This window comes from Homo sapiens, chromosome 1, assembly GCF_000001405.40.
Source record: "Homo sapiens chromosome 1, GRCh38.p14 Primary Assembly".
NCBI lineage: Eukaryota > Metazoa > Chordata > Mammalia > Primates > Hominidae > Homo > Homo sapiens.
Window position 1 is genome coordinate 18,303,575 of NC_000001.11, and position 15,470 is coordinate 18,319,044.

The 15,470-nt window shown below is 49.7% G+C and overlaps 1 protein-coding gene across 4 annotated transcripts in view, besides 1 other annotated feature; it reads left to right on the forward strand.

The window, feature by feature from the left end:
• The window catches only part of IGSF21 (immunoglobin superfamily member 21), a 270,686-nt gene that overhangs the window by 195,777 nt on the left and 59,439 nt on the right, over positions 1 to 15,470 (forward strand). The gene's annotated exons all lie outside the window — the stretch shown is intronic.
• Positions 3,190 to 3,347: a silencer, noted in NCBI's record as "fragment chr1:18633258-18633415 (GRCh37/hg19 assembly coordinates)". NCBI's record gives its function as "represses an EF-1alpha promoter that drives an FKBP-Casp9 reporter gene in an ReSE screen in phorbol 12-myristate 13-acetate-treated (for megakaryocytic differentiation) K562 erythroleukemia cells {active_cell/tissue: K562(+PMA)}" and the evidence as "EXISTENCE:reporter gene assay evidence [ECO:0000049][PMID:32094911]".

The window sequence follows — 15,470 nt, forward strand, 5'->3', positions numbered from 1 at the left end:
GTAATGGGAAGTTAGTTCCGATGTTGAATGCACTTTGGCATGTTTCAAGCACCTCAAGTAAGGGCTTGACTTAATTATTCATTCGTCCTTTTAGAAGTGTTTGTTTATTAACTGTAGACATCGGGAGACAGAGATGAGCAGGACAGGTAAGTTCTCTGTCCCCATGGAGCTGACATTCCCAGGGCTATGCTAGCAACACAGAGAGAGGTGGGGAGGCAGTGGGGCTCTGCCAGGAAGAGGTTGGATATGGTCAGCAAGGGTGAGGGACACAGGCATCCATGTATTAAATCATCCAATCTGCAGGTGAGTTTGAGGACCACTGTTATAGAACATCCTTGGTCATTAGAGAGAACTTGAATTGTATTCTTAGAGTGATGAGGAGTCATTGAAATTGACCTCGGTTTGAGTTTTACACTGCCAAATGATGAAGCAGGGAGATTGGGGTGGGGTGTGATGGGGCTGGACAGGCGGAGGTGGAGAGAAGAAATGGGGATGAATTAGGAAGCAGACCTGGCAGCACTCGCTGATGGGCTGGAAGGGGGACACCAGAAAGTGAGAGAGAAGTTAAACGTGGCCCCTAGGGCCATAGCCATTGCATTTGGGAGGAGAGGGGCTCCTTCCTGAGAAGAGGTGACTGATGAAGACTTGCTCTGGCTGAGGGTGTAGGACAGAACTCACGAGTTGTTTGAATCAGATTAGACATGTCTGTTAGATGCCTGAGCACAGCCAGCAAGTAGGTTGGTGGAAACACAGGGCGGGGGAGAAGTTGTGACCACAGATACAAATATGGGAGCCACCAACACACGGATGCCACTTAAAGCCACCATCCCCTCCAGACTCGGGACAGATCTGCTGGCAGCCTTCAGACATCACCCAGGCCAATCCTCTCATTCTCCACCTGAGAAACCAAGGCCCAGAGACTGTGGATGACTTCCGTAAGGTCACACAGCAAGCCAGCCGCAGAATCAAAAGTCAACTTCTGACTCCTAAAGGAGAACTGTTTCCATTCCACAGTGCTCAATGCAGCTTCCCCCTGACCTGCAGCCTGCTGGGCAGAATTGCTGATATGGCAAATCATTTCTATGTCTGCAGTCAGGAAACCAGAGCTGTTGGAAATTATCTACACACACACATACACACACACACACACACACATACACACACACACACACATTATCCTTTTCCTTCTTCTAAGTAAAAAATCAGTAACCAGGCTGTCAGCTTTATTACTAATTATGCAAGTGCTTTATTGCTGGTATTTAAAAAAATTGAAGGCTAAAAATGTCCAGGAAAGACCCAATTTAGTAAACAGTTCAGAATAAAGTATTTGTTGCCGTGGTATTTCTTCACATTAGAATTTGCTCCAGGTGCTTCAAACCTTCTTTAATATATTATGGCAATCTAATAAAATTCCCAGTTCTGGGAGAATCTTTGCCTTGGAAGATAACTGTGTTTCAGGGAGTGAGGGTTAGGTGGAATTGAGGATGATCGGGAAGGTCTGGTGAGCCTGAAGTTCCTGGGAAAGTAAGGCTGAGAGAGGGCAGAAGATGAGTGGTTAAGAGACTTGCCTGAGGTCACAGTAAGCACTCAATAAGAGATAGGGAAGGGGATGGATGGATGGATGGATGGATGAATGGATAATGGATGGATGGACGATGGATGAATCGATGGATGGATGCATGGATGGTGGATGGGTGGATGGATGAATGGATAGATGGATGGATGCATGGATAGATAATGGATGGATGGATGATGGATGGATGGATGCATGGATAGATGGATAGATGCATGGACGGATGGATGGATGCATGGATGGATGGATGGATAATGGATGGATGATGGATGGATAGATGGATGGATTATGGATGGATGGATGCATGCATGCATGGATGACAGATGGATGGATGGATGGATGATGGATGGATGGATGGATGGATGAATGGATGGATGGATTATGAATGGATGGATGGATGATGGATGGATGGATGGATGGATGGATGGATTATGGATGGATGGATGGATGATGGATAGATGGATGGATGGATGGATGAGCTTCCAGATGAATCATCAGGTTTTTGCAGACCTAAATCTTAGTCAAGGAAAAGAAGTCATCTAAAACTTGCCATTGATAGAAATGACAGAAATAAAAGTTGGTGGACCATTGGGCCATTTGTACAAAATATGTACCATTGCCTCTATTTGCAAATAACAGACTTCAACTGAGATAATGAAGCAACACTGCACAAAGCTGCAGGGCAGGGAAGCCGTCCTCATTTTACAGAAAGGAAGGAGATGATCGGACACATTGAGTAACTTGCTTGAGGTCACATATCCCAGTAGCGATGGAGCTAAGACAGGGGCCAGCCTTCCTCATGTCCAGCTAAGAGCTATAGTTTTCTTTCCAGCTCACAACTTAGGTCCTTTCTCTGTGCATCATGGCTTCTTGCCACCTGAGTTTCTTCTACACCCACCCAGCAGCCAGAGTGAGCTTTCTAAAGTGAAATCAGGTCACCTGCTGCTTGAAGCCCTCCATGGGCTTCCCACTCACTTGGGATAGAACCCAGTCTCCCATCAGGCCTAGGATACCCTGTATGCTCGGCCCCATCCACCTGGCCAGCCTCATCTCCTACCCTCTCCCTCTTCAGCTTCCTAAACATCAGCTTCCGGACACCTTGGCCTTCTCGCCAAGCTTGTTCTTACCTCAGGACATTTACTCATGCTTTTTCTCTGCCAGATACATTCTTCTTCTACCCTGGTGTCAGATCAAATGTCCCTCTGCAGAGATGCTTTCCCTGACTGCCTCACCTCCACCCAGAATTTCCCACCCCTGTGTCCCATCATTCTTAACCCATTGATCCGATTTGTTTGCTTGTTTTTTAAAGCATTGATTACTACCCAGTAAGACTCATTTATTTATCTGAATATACATTTTCCTTTTTCCCTCTCATATCAAGCACCCCGAGGATAAAGACTTGGTCCCCCTGCCCCTCCTCTGTCCCCCTAGCTTTCAGAATGGCACCAGGCAGCCCCTCCCTAGTCAGGGGCCAATGTAGATTTCATATACGGATAAGCGAATTCCTGATCAGAGGGCCTGGCTGTTGGGCCATCAGCTGGCATTGAGCAGAGAGGCCTGGGTTCTAGTCCTGATCCTGTGACAGAGCCATAGGGTGAGCTGGCCAGTCACACAATGTGTCTGAGCCTCAGTTTCCTTTTTGTCCAATGCACAAATGTGTTTGTGCTGGATGATGGGAAGCCCCCTCAGCTTCACTTATCGGCCCCTTCCTCGGTGCACGATTGAGAGAAACAGGCAATAGACCAGGCCCCAGGGTGACCAGGCTCCAGGCACAGCCAGGACTGGGGCTGAAAACCTGCCACCTTCCAGGAACCCAGTCAGCCGATTGGTTCTGCGTATTCGCATTTGGATTCTCAGGGGAGTGGCCTGCCCTCTCAATGGCAATTTCCTTGTGAGCTGGGCTGACACTCCTAATTATTATTTGGAGAGGTTTGGGGAGGCTCAGTTAATTGATTACATATTTCCTTCCTTGACAGGGCATTTGTTTGGCCATGTCTTGTTTTTTTTTTCCCCTGCTTGGTTAATGTTCCTGGGCATGTTGAGTATTTTGTGGGGACCATGGGACTAAGTCCAGTCATAACTCTCCCTCCTCCTCCCCAACCCTGCCAGGGGCTTTCGAACACTTTAATTTAACTTCCCTGGACCTCTGCTTCCCCCATGGGAGCGATGATATAGCAAGAGCCCTGAGATCTGAGGACTAATAATAACAGTGCTCACAGTAATGTTTATCAAGTTCCTAGCATATGCCCTGCTCTGCTCTAAGAACTTTACACACATCGACTCATCTATCCTCACAATGTTACAACGAAGCAGGTCCTGTTATGATTTCTATTTGTAGATGAAAAGATGGAGCTCAGAGAGGTTAAGTGACTTGCCCAAGGTCACACAGCAGGCAAGCAGCTGAGCCGGGATTCAAACCCGCCTGCTGGGTGAAAACTCAGCAACAGGGCACAGGCTGTCCATCGCTGCCCTGTGAGTGCTCCAGCAGGCTTGGGAAAAGGGGATGCGCAATCCCCATCACCCTTGGCCACGTGCGGGCAGACAGGCAGCTGTGGTCGGCCTCTGCCGGGAGCTATCAGTGGTGACACTGGGCAGGACTCAGAGCTTCAGCTCCTTCATTGGTAAAAGGAATCACAATTCTGACTCCTAAGCTGCGGTGAGGGCTGTAGTGGTTCTCATCTTCAGGGTGCCTAAGCCAGCATCTCGTGCACAGTCCATGAAGTAAAGGAGGGCTCGACCCCAGGCCCTTGCTCATGCTGTGCTTCAGAACTTACATGCTTATTCTCCTGGATGGAACAATTGTCACATCATAAAATGCAATCGTCATCTTAAGGAGAAAAGGTCATCGCATCATAGATGACCCTCCCAACGGCCCCTAAAGGGACACCCTGCTCCCTTGGGTGACCTCATGAGCCTCTCTCTTCCATGGTTTGGTGAATGTCCCCCTCCTCCTACTAGTCTGTGGCTCCTGGAGGGAGGGGCCATGTCCACATCTCCCTCATCACCGCCAAACGCTCACCCCGGTTCCCACAGAGCTCAGCACAAAGAGGTGAGGAGGGAACAGAAGAATTAACGGGGGATCTGGCCTCTCCCTCTGCTTCTAGGGGACCGCTTCTTGGCTCCTCTCCCTGGCCAGCCTTTCCAAGTGCAGCCCATGCCCTATCCACCTTCTGGCCTTGAGACATCACTGGACATCCTGTTCATTTCTTCATTCAGCAAACACGTAGTGAGCACCTCTGATGCACCAGAGGCCAAGTGCGGCGGGATGATTGGGTCATAGAAAAAGCCAGAGCCCCTCCACACACACACACAAAGAGTTTAGGTTTGCAGAGCACCTGTACGGTTTAAATATCTTACATGGATTCTCTCTTTGAGCTCCACAACACCCCTTGAGGCAGCTCATGCCCCATGTCCCATTTTTATAGATTAAAAAACTGAGGCCCAGACAGACATGTAATGAGGCAGTTATAGTACAGTGTGCAAGCTCCAGAATGGGCTGTGGGAGCCAAGGATATGTGTGTTCCATGCCCGGGCTTCCTCCACTTCTGACCTCCCCCAGGAGACTCAGACATGCAGCAGGAGCCCCCTTTTCTGGCTTGACCTGAGTGTGGTGGGAAGGCAGGAGGATGGCCTTGATGACCTGTGAGACCTGTGGGCCCAGCAGAGCCTGAGTCCATGCCCAGGACCTATGCAGCCTGCAGAAGAGACCCTGGATTTCAAGGCGGGCATCAGGCTAGATCAGGGCAGTGGGGCCTGGCAAGCCCAGGCCAGGGCACTCACAGGTGCAGCCTGGAGCTGCTGGGAAGTGGGAGCCACTTGGCACCTGGTGGCACCAGGTCCCCATACTCATATTGCTACCTCCAAGGAGGGGATGCAGCTCTGCCTCAGAGCTCCACCAGCTGGGTGAGAGCCCCCTCACTGCATACCCCCATACTCCCCGCCCCCAGCTTGCCCCGAGCAGAGCCACTGAGAAACAGGAGGAGGTAGCTGTAGGGAGTTTGTCTGTGGGCCTGATGCCCTCAAAGGGCTTCCAAGTGGAAATGCTACTGTCATTGCCCTTTGGGGAATGAAAGGAAATATAAAGGCATATTTCATCTCTGTAGCCACCCTAGGGGCAATGATGCCACTGTTTGCTAATAATAACACACACTCGGGTCTAGGGCTTACTGTGTGCCAAGCCAAGTGCACTTACATGTGAGAACTCAGCCATGGAGGGGATGCCACTGTTAACCCCATTTCACAGATGAGAAACCTGAGGCATCAAAAGCTTCAATGCCCTCCCCTAGGTTAGGCACCTGGCAAGGGGCAGAGCCAGGATTTGAACCCAGGCAGTCAGGTTAGGGTACTGGCCCTTCTCCACTAGACCACACCCCCTCCTTTCCCCATTGGCGTGGAAGTTCATTTCAGGAGAACCCCACATCTGTCCCTTTGACAATGTGGGCCTCTCTGAGCCCCTGCACTGCACTTTCCATGACAGGGAGCCCAGTCCTCTGCACCCTGGGTGACCCTTCTCTCCACCGCCTCTAGCCGCTGCTGAGGGCCGGCCTCCTTTTGCCTCTGCCCTCTGCCAGTGTGGGAGGCAGCAGTCAGCAGGGAGGTGCTGCGGTCTGACAGAGGAAATACCAGGGTGCCCTGGGAGGGCTGGAGCTGCTGGAAACGGAGCAGGACCGGCAGAGTGAGCTGATTAGGAGAGGCTAGCAGGGGAGGGAGAGACAGTTTGGACTGAGTCTCCACACCATTAGCTCTCCTGCTCTGTTTCTCCCCCACCTACCCAGACTGTGATGCCAGCCGACGAGGCCCTGGGGGGTGCATGGAGGCCCTGCCAGCTGCTCTAGCTGCTGATGGGCCAAGGGGGCTCTGGACTTGTCATAAGCTCCCTTTACACACCACTAAAGATCCCCAGTCCCGCCTGTGGCTGCATGTGCCTCCTCCTTTGCTCAACACCCCGCCATCCCCAGCCTCATGAAGGCTGACAGAACCAACAGATGCCTTGGTGAGGCCTTCCAGGCTCTCTACTGTGGAATCCCTACCAATTTATTTTCCTTTTATGTTAAAATATAACATACACACAGTTAAGGGCTTTATAAAGGAGTTGGTATCCATGCACACACAGCTGCCCAGGTCAAGATAAACATTCTCAGCCCCTCATGAGGTTTCCTTCCACCAAGAGGGAGGTGCTATTCTGACTTTTGTATGAACTTAGACTAGTTTTTCCTTAAGTCTAATTTAGACTATTAGAATGTCAGGGAGATTTCTCTATGTGGTTGCTCGTAGCAGTGGCTTGTTCTTTTTCATTACTACGTAGTACTCCACTGCGTGGACCTTATTAGTTTATTTACCTATTCTCCTGTGGAGTGGCATTGGAGCTGTTGCTTCCAGTTTTTGAGCCATGACAAGTAAAGCTGCTTTGAATGTAAGCATTCATTTTTCTTGGAGGTATCCCTTGGAGAGGACGTGTGGGGTGCAGGGAAGGCAAATGTTCAGCTTTCAGAGATGCTGCCTGTGCTTGTTTGCCAAGGCTGCTGTAACAAAATGCCACAAACTGGGAGGCTTAAAACAACAGAACTGTATTCTCTCACAGTTCTCAAGGCTAGAAGTCTGAAATCAAGGTGTTGGCATGGCCACACTTCCTCTGAAAGCTCCAAGGAAAAGTCATGCCTTGCCTCTCCTCACTTCTGGTGGTTGCCAGCAGTCCTTGGCATTCGTTGGCTTGTAGATGCATCACCCCAAACTCCACCTCCATCATCACACGGCGTTCTCCCGCTGTGTGTCTGTCTCTCTGTCCAGATTTCCTTCTTAGAAAGACACAGTCACTGGATTAGGGCCCACCCAACTCCAGCCTGACTTTATCTTAACTTGATTACATCTGCAAAGACCCTATTTCCAAATCAGGTTACATCCACAGGTCTCAGGGGTTAGGATTCAACAGATCTTTTGGGAGTGGGGAGCGCAATTCACCCTACAACACCGCCTAACAGTTTCAAAGAACATGTACACATTCACATCCCTGCCAGCAGGATATGAGAGCCCCAGGTGCCCCACATCCTGTGTGTCCCCCACTCTTGACCCAGCTGCAAGGATGACTCCCTGTTTCTGAAAGTGTCCACCATGCCTCTCCCCATCCAGACATTGCAGAAGCAGCACCTGCCACCTCTGCCTGGCAAACCCCTCCCCATCCATAAGACTAATCACTGTCCCCAGGAGCCTCCCCAAGCACATCTGCCCTGGCCAAGTTCAGCAGGCCCTCCCTCTGCTTCGTCTCTGCACTTTGGTCATTCTGGACAGACTCCACTGTCATTCTGTGACAGTGAAGGCTGCAGGCTCTGGAGCGGCGGAGCTGGTCTTTGAAACCATGTGAACAAGTGTCTTCACCTCTCTGCCATCCATTTCTTTACCTGGATTGTTCCAGGAGGAAGCCCAGTGTCCACATGGCTCCTGTATTAGTCTGTTCTCACGCTGCTAATAAAGACATACCCGAGACTGGGTAATTTATAAAGAAAAAGAGATTTAATGGACTCACAGTTCCACATGGCTGGGGAGGCCTCACAATCATGGCAGAAGGCTAAAGGCACATCTTACATGGTGGCAGACAAGAGAGAATGAGAGCCAAGTGAAAGGGATTTCCCTTTATAAAACCATCGGATCATGTGAGACTTATTCTCTACCATGAGAACAGTGTGGGGGGAATAGCCCCCATGATTCAATTATTTCCCACCGGGCCCCTCCCACAACACATGGGAATTATGGGAACTACAATTCAAGATGAAATCTGTGTGGGGACACAGCCAAACAATATCAGCTCCCTCCTCTGGTCCCTCTGGGTCTCTGCTCAGGTGTCACCTCCCCAGAGAGGCCTTCCCTGACCATCTGCTCCAAAATGCCACCCCATCACCAGGTTCACCTTCCTTCTGCTTCTCCGTAGCGTGTATCTCTGCCTAGGGGTGGGCACGGCATCCTCACTTGTTTGCCCATCTCTTGTCTCCCTCTTGCACTAGAAATCAAGTTTCCTCTGGTCTCCTGATCACAGCTCCATCTTTAGCACCTGGTAGGTTGCCTGAGGCAGTCAATGCATATCTGTTGAATGAATGAATTAAATGAATCCGCAAAATGAAAACAAAAATAGCATCTACTGGCAGGAGCAGGGGTAATTGTCAGGAGATTCACTGAGATAGGTCGTGCTTAGCTAGGTTTTAGCCCAGTAGGAACTCAGTCAACGTTAACTGTTGTGTTAGCTTTTTATTGCTTCTGTAGCAAATCGCCACCAACTTAGTGGCTTAAAATAACACAAATTTAGTATCTTACAGTTCTGGATGTCACAACTTCGAGATGAGTCTCACTGGGCTAAAATCCAAGTGTTGATCGGGCTGTGCTTCTTCTGGAGGCTCAGGGGACAGTCTGCTTCCTTGCCTTTTGCAGCTTCTAGAGCCCACCCACATACCTTGGCTTGTGGCCTCTTTCAGCAATGGCATCGCTCTGGCCTCTGCTGCCATCATCACATCCCCTCCCGCTCCGACCCTCCTGTCTCCCTCCAATAAGGACATTTGTGATTATATTAGATCCTTGTGGGTAGTCCAGGATAATCTTCCCCATCTCAAAATCCTTAATCACACCTGCAAAGCCCCTTCTGCCACTAAGGAAACATTGACAGGTTCCAGGGATTTGAACGTGGGCATTTTTGAGGCAGGAGGATGCATTACATACCACAGCTGTGGTTATCACTGTGACAATCACTCACCATGTCCAAGTTTGCTTCCTCTGTTGGACAGTGACCTTGTTGCAACACGGACTGCCTTCTTCTTTCTTTCTGTGTCTCTAGTTCCCTCTTCAGGGCCTGGCATACAGCAGGGGCTCAGGAATGTGGCCTGAGTTCCTGAAGGGCAAGAGCCCCGTTTTACTCATCCCTGTACCCCCACCATCCAGGGCTGATCCTGGCCCTGAACATTTGTTGGACCGAGCAGACCCGCCGGGTACCGTGCATGACCGGTGAGGACAGGGCCCCAGCAGAGGGACAGGGAGGACCGCCGGGAGGAAGGTGAGGGAGGGGAAGAAACTCGGGGAGGTCTCGGGCTTCAAATGAGAGAGGCTTGCCCTTGCCCCACCTCAGGTGGATCCCTTCCAGGGAACCAGTCATGGAACTGGGTCTCTGCTATGGATAATAAAGCTAAAACATAAGGAACACTTCAGACAAGAGTGAGATGTTAGAGCCACCTGGAGCCAGGCTCCTAGCCTCTGAATCCCAGCTCTGCCGCTTCCTGGCTGTGGAATCCTAGGCAAGTCACTCATCTCTCCATGCCTTGGTTTCCCCATCTCTAAAATGGACATGATGATAATAGTGTCTATCTTGCAGAGGGCTCATGGGGCTTAAATGAGTTAATAAAGCTCTTAGAACTGGCACAAGGTATGCAGGATAGGGGGCTGGTGATGATTATGTGCTAACATTTTCTGAATACCTGCTGTGAGCCAGATATTGTGCTGGGCTCCAGGGAGACAGCAGTGAGCAATTCTGCCTCTGGTTACACAGGGCTCTCCATCTCCACCTGGATAAGGATTAATATTGCTCCCATTTTACAGATGAGAAAACTGAGGCCTAGACCTGCCGAGTGCTTGCCTGAGTCCACATACTTAGAAAGCAGAGGAGCCAGTATTTAGAACTGGCCTGCACTCTGGGCCACTGCGCTCTCTCACCTTTCAGATTTGCAGTGCTGGGACCCAGAGCCCTGGAACTCTGCCCTGAATCTTTCTGGAAAACTTGGAAACAGTTTTGAAGCAGGGGGTCTTTTCCTTTATTACAGCCGTCTCAGGAAGACGTGAAAATTTGGCTCTGATCAAATTAGGCCCATGTTGTGATATAACTTTCTATATCCACCATAAAGCTAATAAACTAATAAATTAGACAGAATGAAAATATCATTGGGCAAGGCTGCACACTGAAGCATTGCTGTAATTACTCTCACGGCCGGGGCCAATTTCTCAAATTTCGCCTTGGCCAAGTTTCTCAGCTCACCGTGTCCCTAATAAGGCATAACTCACTCTATAAACATTAAATTGACTTATTTATTTTAAATTACAGTGGAACTGAAACCACCTTGATAAACCTATTCTCCTGCATCTGCCTTCCTCATAAGCATAGCCCAGTGGTTTTTTTTTTTTTAAACAAAGAAAATATCTAGTCTGTCTCAGGACTCTTTCTCCAACCCAGACTAGCTACCCCTTTCTTACCACGATTCCAGCTTTAGAGATTTGACTCACTCCCCTGAGGTTAGCGGAGGTCGCCCATTATAGATAAAGATGATTCATGCCTAATTAATAATGATAATGGTGCTACTTTAATTGAGTGGGTTTGACTGGTATCGTGGGCCGGGCCCTCTGCTACGGCCTCTACAGGAACTCACTTAAACCTCATAATAAGCCTGCAAGGAGCGCCCTCTCATGATCCCTGCTTTGCAAGTGAAGGAGCCAGGGATCAGGGAAGGCAAGTGACTTGCCTGAGACCACACAGAGTGACTTGCAGTGAAGCTGGGACCCAGCCAGGGAGGTCTCGTGCCAAAGCCTTCGTCTTCATCACTGTGCTACCCTACCTCTCAGAAAACTTGCACCAGTGGCCTGCTGGGACTTCAAGCTGCCATGAGACATATTTATTTCTTGAGCGGTGGGAGGGGCTCAAAACCTGGTTGCAGGGAGGAGGAGGGGAAGAGCTGGATGGGCGGATGACATCCAGGCTCAGCGGCAGGTACAATGATGGGGACTCTTGCTGGGGGTCCCAGGAGGCCACAGGTATCTTCCTGGCCCAGCTGATGGAGGTGCAGGAGGGAAAGGGGTTTGGGAAGTTCATCAGAGATCATGATTGGTGCATGAGTTGGGGTTGATAAGAGGACAGCATCCCAGGCAGAGGGGAGAGCAGGGACAAGGGCCAGGCAGTGCTTCCAGAGATCTGTGGCTGGAGTGAAGGGAGGAGAGTGTGGCGATGGGGCGGGGATAGGAGAGGATCTCAGCAGTGGAGAGCATTTCCACGGCCCATCTCTGCTCTCCAGGGCAGGTCTCATTTGGCCGCATGCAGATAATGCAACAGCGAGCTGAGAGTTTTGCTCCTCCTCCTGATCTCTGCTTTCATGTCCCTTCCTAGGTCAGCTTTTCCTGACGTTCTAGTATAGCCTGGTCAGATCTTTCTGTTCTCAGGTCTACCAGCACCCCAGATGCCTCTGGGAACTCCTCACACTATTAATTAAACACATATTTAGGTGGTTAATTCCATCCCTGTCTGCAACACTAGAAAGTCAGGTCCATCAGGGCAGGAATCATGCTCATCTTGCTCACTGTTATCTTCCTAGTAATTACCCCATCTACCATTGAGTGGCACATGCTAGACACTCAGTGTAGAATTGTTGGATGAGTGGATGGATGATGGATGGATGGATGGATGGATGGATGGGTGGATGGGTAGAGGGTGGATGGACAGATGGTAGGTGGATGATGGATTGGTAGATGGTAGGATGGATGGGTGGATGGGTAGATGGATGGAGAATGGATAGATGATGGATGGGTAGACAGTGAATGGATGGATGGTGGATAGGTGTGGATGGATAGATGGCTAGATAAGTGGATGGTAAGTGGGTGAACGGATAGCTGGAAAGATGAGAAGTGAATGAATGGATGGATGGGTGGTGGATAGGTGTGGATGGCTAGATAGGTAGATGGGGGGTGAGTGGATGGATAGCTGGAGAGATGAGAAGTGAGTGGATGGATGGATGGGTGGATGGATGGATGGACAGATGTGCTGAAGGTTTAATGAGATGCTGTGTAGAAGCCTCCAGCATATGCTTGACATAGAAAAGTCATTTGGTGTTCTTTAGGTTGGAAACACAAAGCCCCGGCCATGCTCCAGTGCAGGTATTCCCGCTTGACTCTCAAGCTTACTTTCTGGAAGGCAGAGCCCCTGATGGGAAACCAAGACCCAGAGCCAACCTCAAGCAGAGGCATCACGAGGCCAACTGAGGTCCTTGGCCCATGCCATTCACAGGGCCTGGGCTTTGCCAGGCGATGATGCAGAGCGGTGGCGGTTAGGTGCCCCAGAGACTTTGGGCCCTGTCAGAGCAGAGCTGTCATCCTGTCCCCTCCTCCCCAGCATGAATCTGACCACTGCTGAGGCCAGAGGGAATGAGTTTTTGAGCTGATTATTGGAGAATGGAAGTCTCCCCTGCTGTTAAGGGAGCAGTCCTCAGGGCCTTCCAGAAACCACAGCTGCCCTGCCCCTTCCTAACCCTTGCTTGTGGACTCAGAGGGTCCTACTCCTGCTCAGGGCTCTGCATGGACTCTCCTTTGTATCATCCTCTATCCAACCTTGAACTCTGGTGTGAACAATTCTCCTACTGTCTTGTGTGCAAGCCCCTGCCCCCGTATTTCATAGCAGGTCCCTAATGCAACCCCTGTCCCTAGGTCCCAGCTGTAGTCTGTCTCTGGGATGCCAATTCCTCCCGGATAAGACCCTGATTTGATTTTACCTCTTGGATTGATAGTGAGATCTCCATTCTTTTTGTGTAACTCTGGGCATCTTATTAGACCTCTCTGTGCCTCAGTTTCCTCAACTGTAAAATGAGGATGAGAGTAATAGTACATAATATAGTCATACTACCTCATAGGCAGCACAGGGTTGCAAGAGGCATAATGAGCTAATATGTGTAAAGTGCTTGGAACAGCGCCTGGTACATACCAAGTGCTGTGTGTTATCTATTATTAGTCAACAAATAAACATTGAACACCAATCCATGCCTAGCAATGTTCTCAATGCTGGGGCTGCAAGTAGACAGAGTGGCTCATGGAGGTAACCTCAAGGACAGAGTCCACCCTTTGTTTTATTTTGCAGAATTGATCGACATCTCTCTCTAACACTCCCTGTTTGTGTGACCTTGGGTGAGTCACGTAATCTGACTGTACCCTAGGTTTCTCATTGACCAGTGCCTGCCCCTCTAGGCTTTGGGCAGGGCTAGAGATAGTGTGGATCAAGTGCTTAGAACCAAAGCCTTCTCAGTAAATGGTGGTTAGTTTTGTTCATGCTAATTTTTCCAGGACCAGTGGTGGTTCCTCTACTCCAGGTCTGTGGCTAGAAAAAAACACATTTCATCTTTTCCCATACTACCACCTCACTCCTCACCACAATCCTGTGAGGCAGGCATCACAATACTGAACTTTACAGATTAAGAGACATTGCACAGAGAGGTTAAGCAACCTACCCAAGGTCACGGTGTTTTCAAGTGGCAGAGCTGAGGTTTGACCCCAAGTCTGTTGGATGCCACTACCTGTGCTCCTGGCTACTAAGCCACACTCCTCTCCATGGGAACCACACCTGAGAGCCAGGACAAAGCCTTGCACTTCCAGGAATCATTTGAAAATGTGGATTCTTGAGGCTTGGTCTAGAGTGTTTGTCAAGAGCCGCATCTATGCACCTTCTCTCTGGTGCACCCAATGGCTCCACATTCCTGGGACCTCCTGGTCCTTTTCTTTTCCCCCACTCAGTCTATGGCCATGAATCCACATTCATACCCAGGCCTCTCAAAAGACAGCAGAGGAGAGCTGAGTGATTGGAAGAAAGCATGAACACCAATGCCAATGCATGGCATGATGACAAAGCAAACACACATGTGCTAACTACGGGGCAGGCACCGTCCTAAGTGCCTTCTGTGTATTATCTCATTTAATCCTCTCAACAACCCATGAGAAAAGTACTCTCATTACCCCAAATTGTAAGGTGAGGAGATGGAGACACAGAGTGGTAGAGTGACTTACTCCAGGTCACGCAGCGAGTCAGGATTCAAAGCTGGGCAGCTAGGCTCTAGAGTCCATGCCCCACTGTCTTTGTCATCCACGCTATTCATGCAGGCCCTAGCAGTGGGGGCTGAAGAATGCATGGGAAAGGTTCCCTGCAAAATGAAAGACCTTCCTAGAAGCCAGCAGGTAGTCATGGTGACTATAGATGGCTCTTCCCAAACCAGGATTGTGGGCCACACCACACCCAGCCATTGGCATTTCCTGAGCCAGTGTAACTGTTAAATGATGCAGCTGTGGGAATGAGGAAGAAGCCCTGGCCCCCCGTCCCAAATTTGCAGGTGGGTAGACAGTTATTTCCTTCCTTATTCTCACCTTGCCCTCACTACCATCAAAAAACACGTCTCCTTACATTGTTGGCAATTGGCAGAAGGGACAGATACTGAGGGCTTTGGTTGATTGTGATGCATCCATTAAAATGTACCAGCTTGCTGAGCCACAGATCACTTCTGCAGGCCTTGTCTCCACTGATAGGGTGCATGCACGTGTGCGTGCGTGCGTGTGTGTGTGTGTGTGTGTGTGTGCGTGCGTTTGGCAAAATGGGACTGTTTCTGCTTAGACCTTGGTGAGAATCCAAGGGGCTCACTCCAGGAATTTGAACCCACTGGGCACTCACCCATTCAGGTGGATGCCACCCCACTTCTTCCATGGCAGGATCATCCCTGAGCACCTGACGGCCCCAGCTCACTCACTGACTTGCACACTCTCTCCTTTGGGGCCCTTTCCTCACCAGACCTTGCTTACAAACCAGGGACTCACAGCCCAGAATCGGCCTGTCAACACGCTCTATTTGACTAACACTGAACGTTTTTAATTAAAACTATGTTTTTAATTAAATCAATGACAAATTATTGAAAACCAGGAGATTTTACAAACAAATCTATACGTTTGGCTTTGCTTTAAAAAGCTGAAGATGTGGCTTTTATACCGGTTATTCCCAAATTGTAGGAAACAGCCACCATAAATAATGGCTGGATTTAAACCAGGGAATGACCTCTTCCTTCCCTCACCATCCACACCACTCTGTATTGTCTGAAATGATATCGGTGAGAACTACTTTTGGCTCCATGCAACAAAA